General features: G+C 40.5%; 1 protein-coding gene across 1 annotated transcript, besides 1 other annotated feature; it reads left to right on the top strand.

Annotated features, from left to right (window-relative positions):
- Window positions 5,747–20,961, top strand: ALDOB (aldolase, fructose-bisphosphate B). Its single transcript, NM_000035.4, has 9 exons — window positions 5,747–5,812; window positions 10,624–10,745; window positions 11,555–11,766; window positions 12,998–13,052; window positions 13,879–14,039; window positions 14,883–14,966; window positions 15,894–16,068; window positions 16,479–16,678; window positions 19,617–20,961. The coding sequence occupies exons 2-9, from the start codon at window positions 10,634–10,636 to the stop codon at window positions 19,710–19,712; spliced, it is 1,095 nt and encodes a 364-aa protein (NP_000026.2). The 5' UTR covers window positions 5,747–5,812; window positions 10,624–10,633; the 3' UTR covers window positions 19,713–20,961.
- Window positions 13,305–13,384: an enhancer, noted in NCBI's record as "active region_28725". NCBI's record gives its function as "activates an Ori minimal core promoter by ATAC-STARR-seq in GM12878 lymphoblastoid cells {active_cell/tissue: GM12878}" and the evidence as "EXISTENCE:reporter gene assay evidence [ECO:0000049][PMID:35858748]".

Genomic DNA, 21,732 nt, shown 5'->3' with positions numbered 1-21,732 from the left:
GCTGAGGTAGTGGAGATTAAATGACACATTCTAGAGCCCAGAAAAGTCTCCCTAATAGTACGTGCTCAACTAATGGGAATACGCTCCAGTGGGCAATGTCATCAAGGCAAAGCTAGGGCCAAAACCTTGTTTTCTGATTCTCAAACTTGTGTGTGCATGCGTGTGTGTGTGTGTGTGTGTGCATGTGTATGTGCACACACAGGCATCAGCTGTGTAATGCTCGCTTTATAATATTTTACACTTATGTAGGTCTTCGTAGTTTTCAGAGCACTAATTTACATGATATCGTTTGATCACCGCAACAACACAGTAAAATTAGGCAGTAGTGGTATTATCAGGCCACTTTACACGTTAGAGAAGGGAGGCTGGGAAAAGCTGACTTTGTTCAGCTCCATGGCCAGTCAACAGCAGAACTGGACTCAGCACCCACATACCTCATGCCTCCTTATCTAGAGATTTTTCCACCCTAGCAAAAGGCCATCTCACCTTAATGCCAAAGAGTTTTATGAAAGTTTTATGAAAGAGTTTCTGAAAAGTTGTTATAAGGAAGAGTGAAATAAATACTGTGCTGGGGGTCATAAATGACCTAGGTAATTAACAACCTGATTAGATAGGGAAAAACTGAACTTTGAGATGATTGAGCAAAAGACAAAGAGAAAACACTGACAAGGCAGTTAACAACCCAATTCAAAGACATATGGAGAAATGGGGGTTGGTGGACACTTCAGACCACTGTGTAACTCTTTCCTGTCAGCTAAATACTCGTCACTGAGTGTGAAATTATTTCCTGTTCACTCTGCCTCTGCAACATCCTAACTGCATGTCCATATTTCCTCAGACAAGGAAATCCTCCAGTTCTTCAACATACTTCAAGCATCAGCTTTACTCTTTAGTCAAAGGGGTATTTTTAAGCCCCACAATTTGGATACTATTGAATTTACTTACCCTGGATACTTGAATATACAAGGCACTCTAGTGTTCCTAGAATACACAGAGTTCAGATTTCTTAGTGATGAAGAGCATCTAAAAAAATTACCACAAGGAAATGAAATGGGACCCATGACTCTTTCATTCTCATATCTGCTGCACCCCAGTGGCTGTTGCTCCTGGACTTCATGGTGGTGCTTTAAAACTATTTATACCGTCAGATTTGGAGCATCTTAAAAACCTACCACATCTCTCTCACAAACTGACATCTAATACTCTGATTCTATGAACAGACTAAAAAAACCATTGGAGTGTACATTTTAAGTGGGTGAATTGTATCTATGTGAATTCTATCTCAATAAAACCGTAAAAGAATTGAAAGCAGAGTCTAAATAAAGATATTTGTACACCCATGTTCATAGCAGCATTATTCACAATAGCCAAAAGGTAGAAGCAACCCGAGTGTCTATCAACAGACGAATGGATAAACAAAATGCAGCATACAATGGAATATTATTCAGCTTTAAAAAGGAAGGAAATTCTGACACACACTACAATGTGGATGAAACTTGAGGACATTGTACCAAGTGAAATAAGCCAGACACAAAAAGACAACAACTCTATGATTTCACTTACGTGAGGTACATAGTGTAGTCAAATTGATAGAGACAGAAAGCAGAATGGTGGTTGCTAGGGGGTGGTGGGGAGGATGAATGGAGAGTTGTTGTTTAATGGTATAGAGTTTTAATTTTGCAAGATGAAAAGAGTTCTGAAGATTGGTTGCCCAACAATGTGAATACACTTAATGCTACTAATCTGAACACTTAAAAATGGCTAAGATGGTAAATTTTGTGTTATGTGTGTTGTACCAGAATTTACTGAAAGTAGGGAGGCTGTGGTTCTTGTGTACCATTGCAAGGCACTACAGCCTGGATTCCTGTGAAATTCCAAATGAGCAATGATAGAAGAGTTTTCAGAACCTAGTATAGTTTTAGAAGAAAGGAATGTTCATACTCTACTTATTATTTATTTCAAAGTTCTCTGGGATGAGAATTATAAGCCAGTTACTCTAGACTTTTCTGAGATTGATACTAATATACACCTATATTGATACTCATATATCTATTGATTCATTTATTCCACAAAAGTTGATTGGTGTCTAGGCATAGTGCTGGATAATGAGGAAACATTGGTAAGACATTACTACCCCCTACCCCCCTAGGTCTTACAGTCTGACAGATTGAATCAATTGACTTGGCCTTGTAAAAAATCTCGAATATTTGGGCTTTTCATAGGACTTTTCTTTAATGTTACTTCACACAGTCATCCATAAATGCTGCAGTGACAACAGCAGCAACAACAACAACAATCTCTTGGTGTTTTTATGTACATTCTTGTATTTGGTTTGATTTTATTTGATTCTCAACTTCAATCTTCTCTTCCTTTTAGAATGCAGGTTTCTTGAGAATAGGCCAGTCTTACTCACCTCGTATCCTCTAAAAAGTCTCCATAGCTAACAAAATGCCTTATACACATAACAGCAAAACACTTTTGAGAGCCATGCTGAGAAAACATAGCTCTATCTCTAGACCAAAGTAATAACTACTGATTTTGGGGTCCTGAAACTATTCCAACCACCAAAGCAGATTGCAATATGATAAGGAAATATCTGTACCACAGTTTGGAAAATATATTTTAAAATGCCAATCGTGATTCTTCCAGTTGCATTGTGTAATGTGGTCTCTTTTTATGAAAGTTCTTTCTCTATAATATTGCTAATTCTACAGTAAGTGTAACTCTATAATATGTGAGATTTATTTGCATGTAGAAGTTTGCTTATGACTCAGACCTCATGTTATGCATTAATAACACATTTATCTCATGGCCTGTGGATTGACTTATATAGATATCACATTCAAACCAGAAGAAATATCTAGAGTTGGGCAGGGAGTAGAGAATAAGCGAGGCTGTTGTTAGAAGTATTGACTGTAACGATCATGAATAGTATTGTTGTTACATTGCCTATTTTAAGATCCTACAATCAAAGGCCTCTAAACCAGTTATGCATTCAGATCTAGCTATTTAATGAAAACCTATTCTGTACAAAGTGCCACTCATATATTATTTCATTCATGCTTCATAATACATTTCTGATAGAGGCATTCCTAGTTCATTTTACAGATGGGGAAACTGTGGACTAAGGTTGAAGAACTTCCCAGTGTTTCACAGCCTCCAAGTCCAATGCTGTTTCCACATATAATACTCAATTTTGAACATTGTATTGTGTTAGGAGACTTAACAAAAATAAAAATAAAAACAAAAACCCTGCAAGCAGTGTATGTTGGTCAAGAGTTGCTGTTTCTCTAAGGTCCAGTAAGCCCTTAGCTTTGTTTTCCTGAACTTTGAGTTTCAGTTGCACATCAAGCCCCAGAGGTGGGCAAATGCTGATGCTACAAGAACAGCAGCAAGTGGCAGCACTCAGGGCAGGAGTACTCATGCTGTTCTGACATTCCTAGCCAGGCTGTTGTTCACATGGAGCCATGCCCAGCTCACCAAGGACACCTACGTCTGCTGACGCAAGTCATTCCTCCCTGATTAATGAAAGTTTAATGTCCAAGGTTATAAACTGCTGAGAAGGCAATAGGGAAAGAGCTAATTTATGAGTCTGCAGTTACCAAAATGTAAGCAGCTCTGCTTTAGATCACTGTCTTGGAATGAGACAAACTCTCCAGCTACCTGTACTGTGACTCTAGACAAGTTACTTGCCCTCTCTGAACCAGAGTTTTGTTATGCATAAAATGGGGGTAATAAGCGTTTCTTCAGAGAGTCGCTGATATTGGAGATAATTTATGAAAAGAACCAGGTACATCATAGACTCTCAAAAAAAGGATAGCTATTATTGTTGTATAACAAGAATAATTAGTACTAGTAGCATCTCTCAGCAGGTAGAATGTTTTAGCTATGGTTCTGACTACCCCAGCCCTGACTCCTAACAACTTTCATTACACCCACTCTCTATTCTTTCATCACCATCCACCTCTTGTTCCTCCATTCTCCTTTACCAAAAATCATAGAGGATGAAACCTCACATAGCCCCAAAGCTGGTCACATTGGTCTGACAAATATGGTAGCAGGTGCTTCAATGAGCCCAGTTGAAGATGGGGAAACCAGGAAATGTGCCATCAGATACTAAGTGGAGTCAAGGGAGCTGATAGGACCTTTCCCTGGTCTATCCCTCTACTATCCTCAGGACAGGGCTTGGTGGGAACTTCCCTAGCCAAATGAGCCTCAATATTGTGTTTCAAATACTTCAATTTCCTTCAATATTCACATTCAGTGATGAATACTTACTGTTCTCAGAAGCCTTTGTTTTCAGGAAAAACTTGATGGTGGCTGAAAACATGATGGCTCTGCTTGGAGGGAAATGCTTGTTTTCCTCTCTCTAAGTATAAATGCTCATTCACACCTTTCCTGGCTTTTTGAGAGGTGGCAAAATGCCCAAGATTGATTGCCAGTTACTTGTGTTACCTGAATGAGGCCCTTGTGAGTCTCTGATCTAGGAAAAACAACCAAAACTAAACCAAAACTCTTTTTAGATCACCTAGTTCCGTTTATTTTTTCCTTCATTTTGTTGACATTTCACCTTTTCATCCATAAATTCTGGTGTTACACTCTGCACAATCAAGCATCTTAGTTTTGTTTTCCATTTTATGAATTATTCCAGAGGAACATGTTCATGAGAATTTACCCTTTTTTGTAATTACGGTCATTCCATCACTTTTAGATTTCCCTCATTTATTTGCCTCATTCATCATTTGCCTCTGGAAGCATATAATATTTTTATTTACCTTTTCTGGAATTAAATTTGGGTTTCATACTTAGGAAAAAGCCCTGCAGAATGAACCCATACCCAGACAGTACCATATTTAGGGGTGTTGATGGCTTAGTTCAATCACTTTAATTCTAGTTTTTAACCAAATTTGAAGACAAAAGTACAAAGGTTAAAAGAGAATGGGAATACAAAACAATGATTTCTGGCATTAAATACATCAGAAAGCCCAGCTAGGTTTTGGAGGACTGGAGAAGATGGGAGAGACAATGATTTTTAAAAACAGAATGTTTTGAATTTTATTTCCAATTTGGACAAAATTCACACATGGGAAATTCAAGGATTCAGAATCAATTTCTTTTATTGAAAGATTATTTAAATTTAACTATAAATTATAGAATAAATTGTTGGAATTGACTACTAATGATATACTGAAGATAAATAATGAAAATATAGCATTGATTACCTAATTTGGAAATAATAATTCTTGAATGCCTACTGCGTACAGACACTATACAACTCACTTAATGCTCCTGTGAAATTGAGATCCCACTTTACAGAGAAGAAAATAACGGCTCAGACAAGTAAAAAACAAAACCAAAAACCCGTCACCAAGTTCATGTGTTTTGTAAGTGTTACAGCTACACTAACATTCTTCCTAGTATCATTTAATGGACCCTAGAGCTCCATCATTGACTAGCTGTATGACTTAAGGGAACCTCCTTATCTTCCTTGCCTTAGTTTCCTCATCTGTGAAATGGAGGGTCTGGATTAGGAACTCCACGGTCTAAAGACATTCCTTGCAGCTTTAACATTCTATGAGCATAAGGAGTATATGGGCATGATTTTAAGGACTGGTTGTTTATGAGCCAATCAGAGGTGTTGAATAAACACCTCCCTACTAGGTCAAGGTAGAAAGGGGAGGGCAAATATTGGAAAAAAAAAACATGATGAGAAGTCTATAAAAATTGTGTGCTACCAAAGATCTGTCTTATTTGGCAGCTGCTGCCTCACCCACAGCTTTTGATATCTAGGAGGACTCTTCTCTCCCAAACTGTAAGTAAAAAAGCTTCCTTTGTATACCTGGACAGCACCAGTGAATAAGGGGTTAATAATACTACTAAGCTTATAGAAGGGAAGATTGGTTTGCCTTTGTTTTCGGGAAAAACTTGATGGTGGCTGAAAACATGATGGCTCTGCTTGGAGGGAAATGCTTGTTTTCCTCTCTCTAAGTATAAATGCTCATTCACACCTTTCCTGACTTTTTGAGAGGTGGCAAAATGCCCAAGATTGATTGCCAGTTACTTGTGTTACCTGAATGAGGCCCTTGTGAGTCTCTGATCTAGGAAAAACAACTTGAACACTCCTATCGTTAGGTTCTAATCAGTTTTTGAGATTCCTGTTCATTTCAACTCTCAACTCTCTTTTCATAACAACTACTTATTTTAGTGATTTATTTACATATCTACTGCCTTATGTCATTTTCTACATTCTCTTCCCACACCTACTGGTACCGACACTGAAGTTTCTTTGTCACAGAAACAAACCCTTGGAGTATTTTGCCCTTCGCCTTCACCCACTGCTCAAATGAGGAAATGCAACAGGGTTGGAAACTTCACAGAGCATAGTCATCATTTGATTATGAATTTCCAAACCCTTCATGTTTGACACTTTCTAGAACATTTCCTGCTGGCCCCAGACACTGTGAAGACCCTACAGCTTAAGATAGTAGGAATCAAAAGGTTGTGTATTTTGATACATTTGCTCTACTATCTGAAAAATAGGCATTGTGAGAATATGTTGCCTTTTTAAAAAATAACTTCTCTTTAAATAGTTACCTAGGGCTCCATTAGACAATTTGGATGCACCAGAGCTTGAACTCTGCTACCCTGCTATTCATCACTTTAGCTAAGGCACATCTGGGTAGCACCCAGGCCCAGGTTAGAGCCAGAGATACTGGGGCAGGGAATGGGGAAATGTTGAATATCTAAGAGGTCCTTTGGCTTCATTCCAAGTTTAGAGGAAAGAGCACCATTCAGGACTCGTTCTGGGCTGCTCCGCGTGTGTTAAAGGGCACTGGAAATCAGGCTGTCCTAGGACTGCCCTAGATCATCCCACTGCACTTGTCACTGGGACATTGGGGTGGATAATGAAGCTATTGGCAGCTTTAAGCATCATGTACAAAAGTGCTGCATGCAGTGCCTAGAAATCATGGGCTATCAATAAATAAGCCTCCTCATATTTGCCTTAAAAATCCATTTGTCTTGTACATAGAGAAGCAAATGAACTTTCTGCTGCCTTCTATTTCTCCAGGAATTAAATATCCATGTTACAAATAATTATGTTTTCACAGAACATCTTCAAGGAAGGCAGAAAGAACCATACCATAGGATTCTACCTGCTATTTTGCTGAAGGATTAGAAATAGAATTCTAAGTCATAAGCCAATAGGATGTAACTTGCAATCCTAGAACATCACAACTTAGAAGGCACATCAGACATAGTCTCTCTGGCTTTAGTTTCCTCATCTCTAAAGTGACAGGGTTGACGCAGGTATCTCTGAGGTCATTTGTAGCTCTGTTTTTCTGTGGTTACCTTCTGTTGTTAATACAACTTTCCTCCAGATTTATATACATATTACTTGTTACACATATGTAATAAAGTGCGTGATAAAGAATGTATAAAATGAAATGTGGCCGGGTGCAGTGGCTCATGCCTGTAATCCCAGCACTTTGCGAGGCCAAGGTGGGAGGATCGCGTGAACTCAGGAGTTCAAGACAAGCCTGGGCAACATAGCAAGACTTTGTTTATACCAAAAATAAAAAAAAAAATAGCTGGGCATGGTGGCAGGCGCCTGTAGTTTCAGCTGCTTGGTGTCTGAGGTGGGAAGATCACTTGAGCCCAGGAGGACGAGGCTTCAGTGAGTCATGATTGTGCCAGTGCACTCCAGGCTAGGCAACAGAGCAAGACTCTGTCTCAGAAAATAAAAAAGAAAGAAAGAAAAAGAAAAGAAATGTGAGAATCTCTCCACCCTACCCCATTCTTCAGAGGTAACTCCAGAGTTGTTACTCTTTGTTTATATAGACACAAAAACAGTATGGGTATATATCATTTTTTAATTAAAAAATAGGAGGACAGTATATATTGCATACTTCTCTGAAACTTGTTTTTCATTTAATAATATAATGTGAACAACTTCCATCACACTGAAAAAAGTTGGCTTGAGATCTGAGAGAGCAGAGGCTTAGGAGTACGGAAATCGTTCTTTGTCATTACCCATCCCAGGTTGTCCTCCTGTCTCCTTGTGGTGAACATTGGCCTGTGACCCTGTTTTATGATTAACAGAGAGGTGACATTTGTGCTAACGTGGTACAGACCTTTAATCCCACTGTAGAAGTTTAACTCCCTGTAAACAGTATTAGTTTGAATTATCATTTTCACTGTTATTCTGGTTGAGTCAGCATACCCAGATTGAAGAAAATAGTTTAGTAATAGGCAGTAAACAGAAAAATGGAGGTCACTTAGGTGATTTTTTTCATTAAAAAAAGAGAATTAGTAATACATTGCATTTTATAGTGCTTTGTAAAGAATCTTCATGTTTATCATGCAATTTAACAAATATATTTTGAGCAACTACAATGAGCAGGGTGCTCATAGATGGCATTTGAGTTACCTGGCAAAGAGACAACCAGAACAGTTATTATCACCATTTAATCCATAGTAAACTGAGACTCAGGAAGCTGCCTGACTTGCCTGAGGTTCCAGCTAGATTAGGCAGAGCTGGTTCTTAAAACTAGGTCTGTCTGATCTGCTAGCAGCAAACCTCTACATAAATGTGTCAGATGTTTATGAATAAGTAATGTCCATGGTGTAATCACCCACAGCGTAAGGTACTCTGGGGTGTCATCAAGGACATTAGGAGTCATCCAAAGGCCATTTTTTTCATCAAGCTCACTCTTTCCCTTGAATGGAAAGGAGTACTGCCCCTTATCTCAACTTGATGCCTTATTAGCTATTTGTCCTTGGATAAATAATTTACACTCTCTTATATTCTTTCCTAATCTATTAAATGGGAGGGGAAAAGAGCCCAACCACCTTCTGGGATTATTTTCAAGAAAAATTATATAGTGCATGTAAAGCCATTAGCAGAGTGCTTGACAATACATGATCACTTGTTGTTATTATTATTATTGGGCTGATTTTCCCTTTTGTTTCATTAAGAAAATATCTTTCTTTCTTGGTAATTGTCAACTCCTTTGTACAAATGCCTAAACTGAGAGAGAAAGTTTGCACCTTGCTCTGAAGATCACACCCAGGTTGGCTTTTTTCAGCATGATGATCTGGAGGCCAGGTCCAAAGCTAAAAGTCTTTGACTCCAATATTACAGCTAATATATAAACAGGGCAAACATGCTCTGCTGGTGGCTGGGACATAATGGGCCTTAGAAGGTCATCTTCTCTAGAAATTGTTGCCCACTAGCTTGTCCTATTACCCCAGTAACAGCATTGCAGTTTCATTCTTTTGGGGTAAGACAAGAACCTCTGTTGAAATGGAGAGGCAACAATGAGATCATCAGTTATACCTTCTCATGAATTAGCTCAGTGGCTACTGACTTTTTATATCAAGGGACAGAGTACTGACAGCCTACCCTGAAGGGATGCAGAAAATGTGGAGAAATATATTTGTCATGAGGACAGGACTGGATAGGGACTCTGCTTCATCCTAGCTGGGACCTTGAACAAGTCAGTTAGCTTCTCTACGTCTTAGCTTGCTCATTAATTAATGAAGATAATACCTGCTATAATTACCTCATTGCCAATGGATCAGATGAGACCTGAGGTGTCCCTGGGCTTCCGGGAAGTAATATGTAGACATGGAGCATCCACCCTGTGCTGAGTGTATTGGAGGGAGAGAAGATTAGAGAAAGGAGGAGACCCTGGCATTGGATAGGAAGCTACCCAAGATAATCTTCATTACCATTTTTTCTTTGGTAGCCCAACCTATGCAAAAAGCACTCTTTGTAACACCCAAAGTGAGGGCTCTTTGAGCTTGCATTTTCAAGATTAACCCAAAGTGGCATCCGAACAGGGGCAACGATCTCCTTCAGAGCACAACCACTGTGGAGGCTGCTTGGTTAGGGGGTCTTCAAGCCAGAGTCTCCCCTTGCTAAAGCAGTGAAGCTGGAGCAGGGACTGCCATACAACTTTAGCATCCTCATAGGCAGTGAGAAACCCAAGCCCAGAGGCACTTAGGAAACATCCTCTCTGGTCTGCCCCAAGTGGTTTCATAGAGGGTTGAATATAAGGAAAAGGAAACTTGCACCCAACCCTCTGTAGCCCGAGGCCAAATGGAAGTTAGCTTTAAGACTATGTATAGATTTCTCCTTTCAAGTTTGTTTCCTGGAGAATAATCTGTTGGAACTACAGACTAACAGAGCAAAGCAGAGGATAACTGCAGAGGTCAAGAGCGACATTGTCCTGGCCTCAAGCCATTAAGGAAATCCAGTGGCACCAGGAGTCCACAGAATAGAGAGACAGTCCATTACTGCAGTCCCCTCTATTAGTCATATTTTAGTGGGTCACTAATTAGCTGGTTCAGTGTTTTGATTAGTGATTCCAAAGGCCTGCTGGAAAGCATTCTGTCTAGGATCACCATGAACATTCAGTAACCCACCTTCATTCATTGCAGCTAATTGCAACTAATAAGTGATGGGGGAAAAACAAACCTCATTTGCTTATCCACCTGTGGAAATGGGTCAGAGGTGTCACAGAGGTCTGCACAGCATGTCTGCACCCCCAACTGTCTTGGTCATGCATCCATCTGAGCCACCCATGGTTCTGTGCACAACTCTCGCACACTCTTTTCCAGACCTGTCACCATGGCCCACCGATTTCCAGCCCTCACCCAGGAGCAGAAGAAGGAGCTCTCAGAAATTGCCCAGAGCATTGTTGCCAATGGAAAGGGGATCCTGGCTGCAGATGAATCTGTAGGTGAGTGTAAAAAGCAGTCTCATCATATAACAACATATTATTTTTTCTACACTTAGCAAAAACAACTTGATAATCATATTCTTTATGGAAGTAAAGGTTTATGTACACGGGAGTGGGAGCAGAAGACTCAGTAAGCGTAGAGCTTTTGAGTCCTGTAAGTAGTAGGCACATTCCTGAAAGCCAAGGAAAGAGGCTCAAGCCCTTCATTTTAAGCCAGGGGTCATTTGAATCCAGCCTTGTAGTAAGGCCAGAAACTTAGTAACTAGCATAAGGTCAGATACACAGGCATCTGCTACTAGTGAGAAGTCAGTTTAAAGTCAGTTTAAATTCAGTTGAGTCAAGAAGGGCAGGAAAGTATCTGCATCTGGAATAGGACAGGGCTTATGGATGGGAGAACCTCAGGATGGCACAAGGGAGAGCTGTGGCAGAGTTGCACAGCCTGCCATAAAATCACAGAACCCTGAGAATCAAGAGCATGCCCCATCCCTCCTTCTGCATGTACATCCAGCAAGACTGAGGACCAGATCAGGGAGGCTAGAGAGGCCTGAGGGCCTTCCATATCCACCTGGACCTGAGGGTGGCTTCCACCCTGACCTCTATATGCCCAGCCCACATACTCCCTAACTAGCCACCTGAGAGCAACCAGGGTCTTCTCCCTGGAACACAAAAAATTGAAGCAGGAGCTTTGACTATCTGAAAAAAGAAAGTCTTGCTTTCCACTGTGGTGAGGGTCTCTGAGATGATGTGGAGAAGGGTGACAGGAAAGCCCTGGCTTGCTCCTTATGCTGCCCTTGGCCCTCCCACCATAGGTACCATGGGGAACCGCCTGCAGAGGATCAAGGTGGAAAACACTGAAGAGAACCGCCGGCAGTTCCGAGAAATCCTCTTCTCTGTGGACAGTTCCATCAACCAGAGCATCGGGGGTGTGATCCTTTTCCACGAGACCCTCTACCAGAAGGACAGCCAGGGAAAGCTGTTCAGAAACATCCTCAAGGAAAAGGGGATCGTGGTGGGAATCAAGGTGAACACCTCCATTCACACCTCACTTCTGCTTTGTCCTAGGCAAACTCCAAGCACACTGGCAAGGACAGGGCCAACACTCTGAACATTCTCCTCATCAAATTTCTCTTCTCACCCTTTTCCATCGTCATCTTCCCACAGAGAACAAGATCCTCTTCTAGAGTTTTCCTCCAGTGCCCTCTTCTTTCACTCAAATTTTCTACACGTTCTTAATCTCTTTGCATCTCAATCTCATTTCTTAAAATGGGAATCTACCTCATGATGTTCTTACAGGGATGAAATGACTAAAAGTTTCTAGGCTGGACGTGGTTGCTTACTGCTGTAATCCCAGCACTTTGGAAGGCAGAGGCAAGAGGATCGCTTGAGCTCAGGAGTTTGAGACCAGACTGAGCAACACAGTGGGACCTTGTCTCTACTAAAAATCAAAAACATTAGCCAGATGTGTTGGTGCATGCCTGTAGTCCCAGCTACTCAGGAGGCTGACGTGGAAAGATTGATCACCTGAGCCCTGGAGGTCGAAGCTGGAGTGAGCTATGGTCATACCACTGCACTCCAGCCTGGATGACCCTGTCTCAAAAAAAAAAAGAGTAAGATCCTGTCTAAAAAAAAAAAAAAAGAAAGAAAAAAGAAAAGAAAAAGTTTATATTGCGTAATTATTGTTAATGGTAACTATCATAATTATTGAAGCATTTACTATTCTATCTTATAACTAGGTCTTCCAATAGTGCATAAACTTCTCAAAAGTGAAAACTAGTATCCATTGAATAAGAGTTTTTACCATTCCAAGCATTCATTTAATTCTCATAACCTCTGGTAGTAGACTCAATTATTACCCTTATTTAGAGATGAAGTGAGAAAACTGAACTACGAAGAGTAACATAACTTGCCCACACAACAAGGCAAGGTCAGAGCCAGTTTAGGCTAATTCTCAAGCTCATGACTTTTGCCTTTGCTATGTAGAGAGTAGAGGTTGTATCCTTAATTCTCTTTACCTCCTGTACTAACACAACACCTGGTGCATGCAGGTGCTCAATAAATGTTAGGGTAGACACTCTCACAGTGTACCTTCTAGGTAACTTCCCTTCTGCTATGGACTGAACTGGGTCCCTCGCACTAATACACTTTACTAATTCAACTCCTTGATCTGTAAAAGATGCAAACTGTTAGTTAGTTCAAGAGTTCTGCTTGTGTTTTCCTGACATCTGACACCTGTTAATTATTTGTATCCACAGTTAGACCAAGGAGGTGCTCCTCTTGCAGGAACAAACAAAGAAACCACCATTCAAGGTAAGGATATTGCCCACTGAGATGAATCATGCCAGTGTAAGCTAGAAATGAAGGCAAGTAAAGAAGGAAGCAAGGAAAAACAAAACACAACTATTACACTGGTCTTAGAGCCACACGTACCTGGTTTTCAATACCAGCTCCTCCATTTAACAACTGTGACCTTGGGCCAGTCACTGAAATATTGTGAGCCTCAGTTCTCCTATCTCAAAATGGGGATTTCTCAAAATGTTGTGGGGATTAACTTAGACAATGTACATAAGGTGCTTACCACAGTACCTTGGACAAAGAAGATTAAACTCTGCACCCGGAAGTATTATTTTTAGAAAAAAATTAGCAGCAGTAGAGTGGAAAGTCCCCACACTTTGAGGTCAGACACACCTGGGTTTGAATCCTGGTTCTATCACATGCTACCTAGATAATTTTGCAAGGTACTTCTGCCCAAGTAGACAAGCATTAACTCACAACATTGGGTTAGCTAAGCAGAATTTGAATCCCAGCTCTGTCACTCTTGAGCAATTCAAACTTGGTAAAGTTGCTTAACCATTAGGAGCTTCAGTTTCCACCTTTGTAAAATGAGTATCATATTAACTATTGGTTTCTTCTATTCTATATATGGAGTAGATAGTATGTATGTCAAAACACTATTTATTAAATCTAAGTCTTCTGGTTCAGTGTTGTGATTAATGCTGATATGCTTGGCTGTTTTCAATCCTCAAGCACAGTGGATTGAAAGCTAAGCAAAGGGAGAACTCCTTCCCTTTATTAGAAGCCCCATGGATCAGGTACAAAGGTACAAAGAAGCCTTTCTCTCTTTTGTGACTTGCAGGGCTTGATGGCCTCTCAGAGCGCTGTGCTCAGTACAAGAAAGATGGTGTTGACTTTGGGAAGTGGCGTGCTGTGCTGAGGATTGCCGACCAGTGTCCATCCAGCCTCGCTATCCAGGAAAACGCCAACGCCCTGGCTCGCTACGCCAGCATCTGTCAGCAGGTGCTCTGCCTTCCCCTTGGGCTGAAAAAGAGTAGGCTAGAGTTTTCTTCAGAGCTTTTCTTTTCAATTATACTATAACTACAAATGGACCTCCTTTTCCCTCACCAGTATATCCTAGTGGCATTTTTCACAACTTTTGCTATAGCCAACTGTGGTAGGGAAAGATTTGGTCCCACAAGCCAGTAGGAGTCCAACTAAGCTATGAGTTCAAAGGATAATGCCATCAACTGCTGCCCTCTGTCAAAGCTCCATAAGCTGTCTTATAAGTGATCGGGCTTTTGAGGGCAGGGAACTTGGTTGTCTATACTCCGTAACATCCAAGACATGATCCTCTTAGATTCCTAGCTGAAGAGTGACAGCTCTGACCGAGTTCCAATCCAAATAATTCTTTGGAGGATGGTGACCAGATGCTAAAGTTTCCAACACATACTAAAATGTCTCTGGGTCCGAGTTAAGTTTGATTTTCTTCTGTGAGTACTATGTTGGGGTTACTAGAGTTGTGGACAGCTGGAGATCCCCAATTAGAACTCTAAACACTGCTTGAATTTCTTCATTAACCCAACTTAGAGACATCTTTCTTAATGATTTATGCTTAGATGCCCTAAAAAGGCAGTAGCTAGGTTCTGAGGCAGCTAGAATAATCTCTAGAAAGAAATACAGTAATTACGGGTTTGTATTTATTTTTTATCTCATTCTGAAAAATTCTACTGTCTTTAAGTCATCTATGTAGTATTTCTCCATAATGGCTTCAATTTATACCAATTGCAACTGTTGAATCTCCTCCTAAGGAAAGGATAACAGTGAGCACAGCTTCACTTTTGCTTCCTTGATTTTCCTTTTTAGAATGGACTGGTACCTATTGTTGAACCAGAGGTAATTCCTGATGGAGACCATGACCTGGAACACTGCCAGTATGTTACTGAGAAGGTAAGTTTTAAATATGAAGGCCCCAATTCTAGTTGAAAAATCTTAGTTTTAGGTAACAGCTGTTACTTAACATATAACAGCTGTTATATCTGAAGTAGCCTTTAGGATGGATAGCATAGAGAAGGTAGGGAGGTGCTCATCAGCCCTTCACCTTTTTGGCACATGGTATACTCCATATAGAAAAAGCACAGGAGTTGCAGTACCAAGACTTGGGTTGGAGAATCCGCTTTTCCACTTGTGGGATCTTGGGCAAGTCATATTATCTCTTTTGACTTCAATTCAATTACATGTACACAAAGAAATTTTAAAATAAGACATGTGGCTCAAATGAGAAGATGTAATTAGAAAGTACTTTATTCCATCTGACTTTCTAAATTAGCCACAGTGGATCTGAAAGAGGGTGGTTCTATTCATACACTGTGAGAAAGTAGGAGAGTCATAATGTCACCTGACCTTAGTTTCTCTACTTGGAAAATTATGTGGACTGAAATGCAATCTAAGAGCACTTCCACCTCTAAAATGTATGATTCTATGACTACTCAGCTTCTGTAAACATGGACAGTGGAGGCCCGTTTAGATGACCCCAAATAGCTAAAGCAATGCAGTCTCAATAAGGAATGACATTGACCAAGGGAGTAATGGAAATAAAGGAATGAAGGGCTTCTAGGAAGCAGAGCCATGCCTGTCATTCATGCAGTGAATGAGAAGCTAGATTAGGGGTGATGAAGACAGGCCAGTTTAGTTGTGCTCAGTGGCTATGGATTGCAACACATTGGTCTAATGAGGCCTGGAGATTGGTTCAGAAGCTTTTGCCAAGCAACAAATAAGAATTCCTTCATCCTGCCTCCCTGCAGTGTAAATGTGCCAAGGTCAAGTGGCTCTATGACTAGCTTTGAGTTTCACCTGGTGGGACCTCTTGTCCTTCAGGTCCTGGCTGCTGTCTACAAGGCCCTGAATGACCATCATGTTTACCTGGAGGGCACCCTGCTAAAGCCCAACATGGTGACTGCTGGACATGCCTGCACCAAGAAGTATACTCCAGAACAAGTAGCTATGGCCACCGTAACAGCTCTCCACCGTACTGTTCCTGCAGCTGTTCCTGGTAAGGCCTTCTTTCTTCTCTAACTCAAGGTCTTAGCCCTCATTCTTTGGAGAGCCACAAGCTTTCTGTTTGTCCAGAAATCTGCTTCTATTCATGAAACAAACCTCTGTTATCTCACAGGCAGCCAGCACTTCTTCTCCCACTTCAGAATACCAAGCATCCCAAGTCTGCCCAAATGCCCACAATCCATGTATTTCTTCAACATTTCACTGCCTTCCTTACGTATTTAAAGCACTTATCTCTAGCCCAACTAGCTTCAGCAAAAGCAAACTGATTTCTCAGTTTGCTTTAAGGCAAATTAAGCAGAGAAAAGACTGAGACATTACTTTTCTGGTAGGTTCATTGCTTGCTTTCTCAAGCAGGGTATATAAGGTGGGACTAATAGAGTGAAATGGCTTCTCTCCTACCAGGCATCTGCTTTTTGTCTGGTGGCATGAGTGAAGAGGATGCCACTCTCAACCTCAATGCTATCAACCTTTGCCCTCTACCAAAGCCCTGGAAACTAAGTTTCTCTTATGGACGGGCCCTGCAGGCCAGTGCACTGGCTGCCTGGGGTGGCAAGGCTGCAAACAAGGAGGCAACCCAGGAGGCTTTTATGAAGCGGGCCATGGTAAGATGCTGCCACCTCTTATCTACTTGATGATGTTCACATTTGGGGCTTGACTTTCCAACACGGAGAAGCATTGTTTTCTTTGGGCCAAGAAGGTATCTACCGATAGTGTCTATTAGGCATTTGAAAATGTGGCAGTAGAGGTCAGTATGAGGATTGAGGCTAGAGAGAATTTTGAATTATCCACACTAGAGTATAGTTGATGACAGGAGACTGAAGGACAATTTCAACAGAAACACTTCAGAGGGAAGGAGATAAGAGGACCAAGAACTGAACCTAGGATACTTTTTATTTTGGGAAGATGAAGAAGAGAAGCAACCAAGAAAAGCAGCGATTATATTGTAGGGTGAACCAAGCATTCTGGGAATAAAGACAGAAGAATTTCTTTCTTTCATGTTTATTTGTTTGTTTGTTTGTTTGTTTTGAGATGGAGTGTTACTCTGTCACCCAGGCTGGAGTACAGTGGCACAATCTCGGCTCACTGCAACCTCCACCTCCTGGATTCAAGCAATTCTTCTGCCTCAGCCTCCCAAGTAGCTGGGACTAGAGGCATGCGCCACCATACCTGGCTAATTTCTGTATATTTTAGTAAAGATGGGGTTTCACCATGTTGGCCAGGCTAGTCTCAAACTCCTGACCTCAGGTGATCTGCCCACCTCAACCTCCCAAAGTGCTGAGATTACAGACATGAGCCACCACACCCAGCCGGGTAAACAATTTCAAAGGGCCAATAATAACATGCTATAGAGAGATTCAAAAGAAAGGCCAAGAAAAGACCCTGAGATTGGCATTTAGGAGCATACCAGTGACCCTCACTGAAACAGTTTCAATAAAGAGGAAAGGAAAGGTGCCCACTCAAGAAGTTTTTCAGAAAAAGACCCAGAAAGGTTGCCAGGAGAAATGAGGACCAACAAAGTTTTTATTCAAATAATAACCAAAATTTTTAAAATACGCTTTATGAGCCAAGAACTGGGGTGAACAAATGAGACATAGCCATGTCCTCCAGGAAGCTTGGAGTTTAGCCAAATAGGAGAGAGCTTGGCATGTTTAAATGTAAAGAAAGAGGAGCCAGAGGAGACAGTAAAGATGAGGAGAGTGGGGATAATTGAGTGGAGAAGAACTTAGAGGAGCAGGACTGCATGAGACTCAATATTAAGCATAGGTGGCACAGCTGGTGTAAGACAAAAAGGAGGGAAGAGGCAGAAAAGAGAATACAGTTGGAATCAGCTCTATATAAGTCAAGAGATGTAGCAGTTGATGACTGATTACAGTTGAGGGTATCTGCTGAGAATGATGAAGAAATGGAAATTTCAATACTGACAGTCGGAAAGCGTAGAAAAGCAGTTAAAGGAACTTGCTAGGAAATTGATCGGACGTTATGGCCAGACATAGCCAAGCATCAGGTAATGTGCAGCTGAAATAAGAGTGAGTGTGTGGTAGCTTCATTCCTGAGTTTTCCTAACAGCAGTCTAAAGCATGCAGGAAGATTCAGAACGCAAAATAGCGGGGTAGAAGAGTGAAAGTTTAATAGGAAGGTAGAAGAGTGACAAATTTTACCGATAGCCTCTGTTAGCTTGCTGACCATAGAGGAAGCTAGGCAAGGAATCAAGAGTAGTCAGAAGTGTGGTGATGAGGCCCTAAAGGGAAGGAAGGCCCCAGGGAAGCTAAATCATCATCTCACAGGCATAAGAGAGGTATCAGATTTTCAAAGTAGTGCTTTACCTTGACTGTGGAAAGCAGGGTGCAGCAGTGCTGCTGTGTGGCTGATGGACTGAGGAGACCTAGCTTACATGATGGAGGGATTGTGAAAGCGCAGGTCATCAGGGACATCCACACAGAAGAAGGGAAGCTGAGTTTATCATCAAGGATGGTGCTTCCCAAGCTCCAGTGTGGATCTGAATCACCTGAAGGTGATTTTGGTTTTGTTGTCATGATCTTTTATATTTACACACAATAATTGTATAGATCTGTGGGGTATCTGTGATTTTTTATATATGCATATAATGTATAATGATCAAATCAGGATAATTAGGGTATTCACTCCAAATATTTATTATTTCTTTGGGTTTGGAACATTCCAAATCTTCTCTTCCAGCTATTTTAAAATATGTAATAAATCATTGTTAACTATAGTCATCTTACTGTTGTATCAAACACTAGAACTTATTCCTTCTGCCTAACTGTATTTTTGTACCCATTACCAACCTCTTTTCATTTCCCCTACCCCCACTTGAAGCGCTTGTTAAAAATGCAGATTATGGGTCTCACCCACTGAGTTTCTAATTCAGTAGGTCAGGGGTAAGGCCAGGGAATTTCTATTTTTAACATGTTCCTAAGGGATGCTGGTAGACCATGAAACACAGTTGGAGAACCATTGATGTAAAATGTAGAAATAAGTCCTGGAGAGAACAGACAATAGCAACACTGACTGGAAGAAGTGGTACCACTGAGTGACATTCAAATATTGTCGTAAGTTTCATAATTCTGAATTTATCTTTAACTGGAATGTATACAGGAAAGCAAATGATACTACAATAACTAAATAAAAATTACATATTCTTCTAGACCAATATAGGTAGAAAATGGAAATGTTTTTAAAATAAACATGTTTTTCTTTTGGTATAGTGTACTATACTAGTGAGAAATTTTTCAACTTTAGTTTCTAGTACTGTTGCTGCAATATTGTTGGTACTGAACAGAGATTTCCCCAGTAACTGACACAAACCTCAAGCTTACCAAAGAAATGCTCAGAAAACTGGGATAAAAAGGGGAGATACTTTATAGAAGGGGATGGTATCCCCAGCAATATTCAGCAACATTGCTGTAAAAAGAAGAAAATCTGAGTGAAGGTTTGACTGGTTTCCCATGAGAGGCAGACAGGGTCAAGGTGGGGTCACATTTACTCTAACCAGTCTCCTCTCTCATATTTGTCTTCTAGGCTAACTGCCAGGCGGCCAAAGGACAGTATGTTCACACGGGTTCTTCTGGGGCTGCTTCCACCCAGTCGCTCTTCACAGCCTGCTATACCTACTAGGGTCCAATGCCCGCCAGCCTAGCTCCAGTGCTTCTAGTAGGAGGGCTGAAAGGGAGCAACTTTTCCTCCAATCCTGGAAATTCGACACAATTAGATTTGAACTGCTGGAAATACAACACATGTTAAATCTTAAGTACAAGGGGGAAAAAATAAATCAGTTATTGAAACATAAAAATGAATACCAAGGACCTGATCAAATTTCACACAGCAGTTTCCTTGCAACACTTTCAGCTCCCCATGCTCCAGAATACCCACCCAAGAAAATAATAGGCTTTAAAACAATATCGGCTCCTCATCCAAAGAACAACTGCTGATTGAAACACCTCATTAGCTGAGTGTAGAGAAGTGCATCTTATGAAACAGTCTTAGCAGTGGTAGGTTGGGAAGGAGATAGCTGCAACCAAAAAAGAAATAAATATTCTATAAACCTTCAGCTGCTATCGGGTTTCACTTTTCTGCTCTTGCTGTCCAAAGACTCAGTGTATTTCATTACTTTTGACTCTACTAGACATGACTGGGTTTCAACAGTAAAGGTCTTCAACTCTTGCTAGTCATTGGAATCAAGCCGCAAAATTTTAAAAACTGAGATGCTCAGGCCACACCCCAGCTCAATTAAATCAGAAACCCTAGACTTGGGATCCTCTAACTATTAGATTTCTTAAAGCTCCCTCAGTAATTCCAATGTACAGTCAAGTTTGAGAACTACCAATCTAAATTTCAAGTTTGAGGGTATTTGAAAATTAAAGCCATTCACAATACGAAGCCAGCTAAAAATGTAGAATGATTTTGAGCAACTTGTGGAGTATAATAAGAGAATTAATGTGACTTCAATGCTTGGAGCATTCTTGTTCAAGTGGCCCAGGTTTGGTGAAACAGGACTACCTTGTCATCTGCACGTCCAGGCATATTTCGTAGTTTTGCAGTAAATAATATTCACATAATGATACTGTATTGACTTTCAATTTTCAGAATTAACCTATAGTTACAGCACTTAAGACAACCAGAGTTATAAAAGAGAATTTAAATATTATAACTTTGGACAATATAAAAGTGATGATTTAACTGACAGAAGCTAGGAAATATAAGGGGGAGGAGAAGTGGAAGAAAGCAAAGAGAGTCAGGAATACTACTTAAAACTGATGGGTTAAGAAATAGTGCTTTAATTCTATTTAAGTAATAAAAGAAATGGATGTAAATCATAAAAATATATATCTAAAATTAAAATATTGATGGTAGTATGCTAAATTTCTTACCTTGAATAATACAAAGACAAATGGTATTGTGTAGATTAACAAATGAAGAAACAGAGACTTAACATATTATTTAGAGGAATAAGACAGAATTAGCCAAAGGGGCTTACTCTAAGACCTGGGAGAAAGACCTGGGAGTCAGGGCACAGGAAAGATGACATTTCCTTATTACCTGCCCTCTACAGTATTTGAATATTTATTTCCATGTACTTGTCATTACTTTTCTAAAAACAACTACAGACAGTCATACAAGCAACTCAAGCCTATATGAGAGATCTATTAAGCCCACGGTTTTCATTTTACAGGTGATAAAACCAAGTCCAGAGAAGTAAAATTACTTACTGAGGATCCCACATTTATAGCAGAGCTGAGAGATTAAAATTCAGGTCTTCTGAACTCAAGTCTCTTGCTCAAAAAGTGGATACACAGCCAGAGATCTTACAGGGCAAGGTGACAGGCTGTGTTCAATATCTCTGCCACCCGTGGTGTAGTCTTGTACATTTCTCCTTGTACATTTCAGTCAATCATCAAGCACTTCATCTCCTACTATGTGCCAAGCTGTCCTAAAAGCAGGTAGGTAACACCTTGTGAGACAAAGCTTTTCTGCCAGATAGTTTTTATCTAGATCCTACTCAGCATCGCTGAATTCTTTAGATATTTTAAGAGGTATCTAAAGAAACCTCTCAGATTCTTATCAGTTAACCATGAATTTATAATCAAGGATGAGTTACTTATATATTTTGGTCAAGGCTGAATTACATTTTACTGGG

This window comes from Homo sapiens, chromosome 9 (genome assembly GCF_000001405.40).
Source record: "Homo sapiens chromosome 9, GRCh38.p14 Primary Assembly".
NCBI lineage: Eukaryota > Metazoa > Chordata > Mammalia > Primates > Hominidae > Homo > Homo sapiens.
Note: the sequence above shows the minus strand (reverse complement) of the source record. Positions and strands in the feature narration are given on the sequence as shown.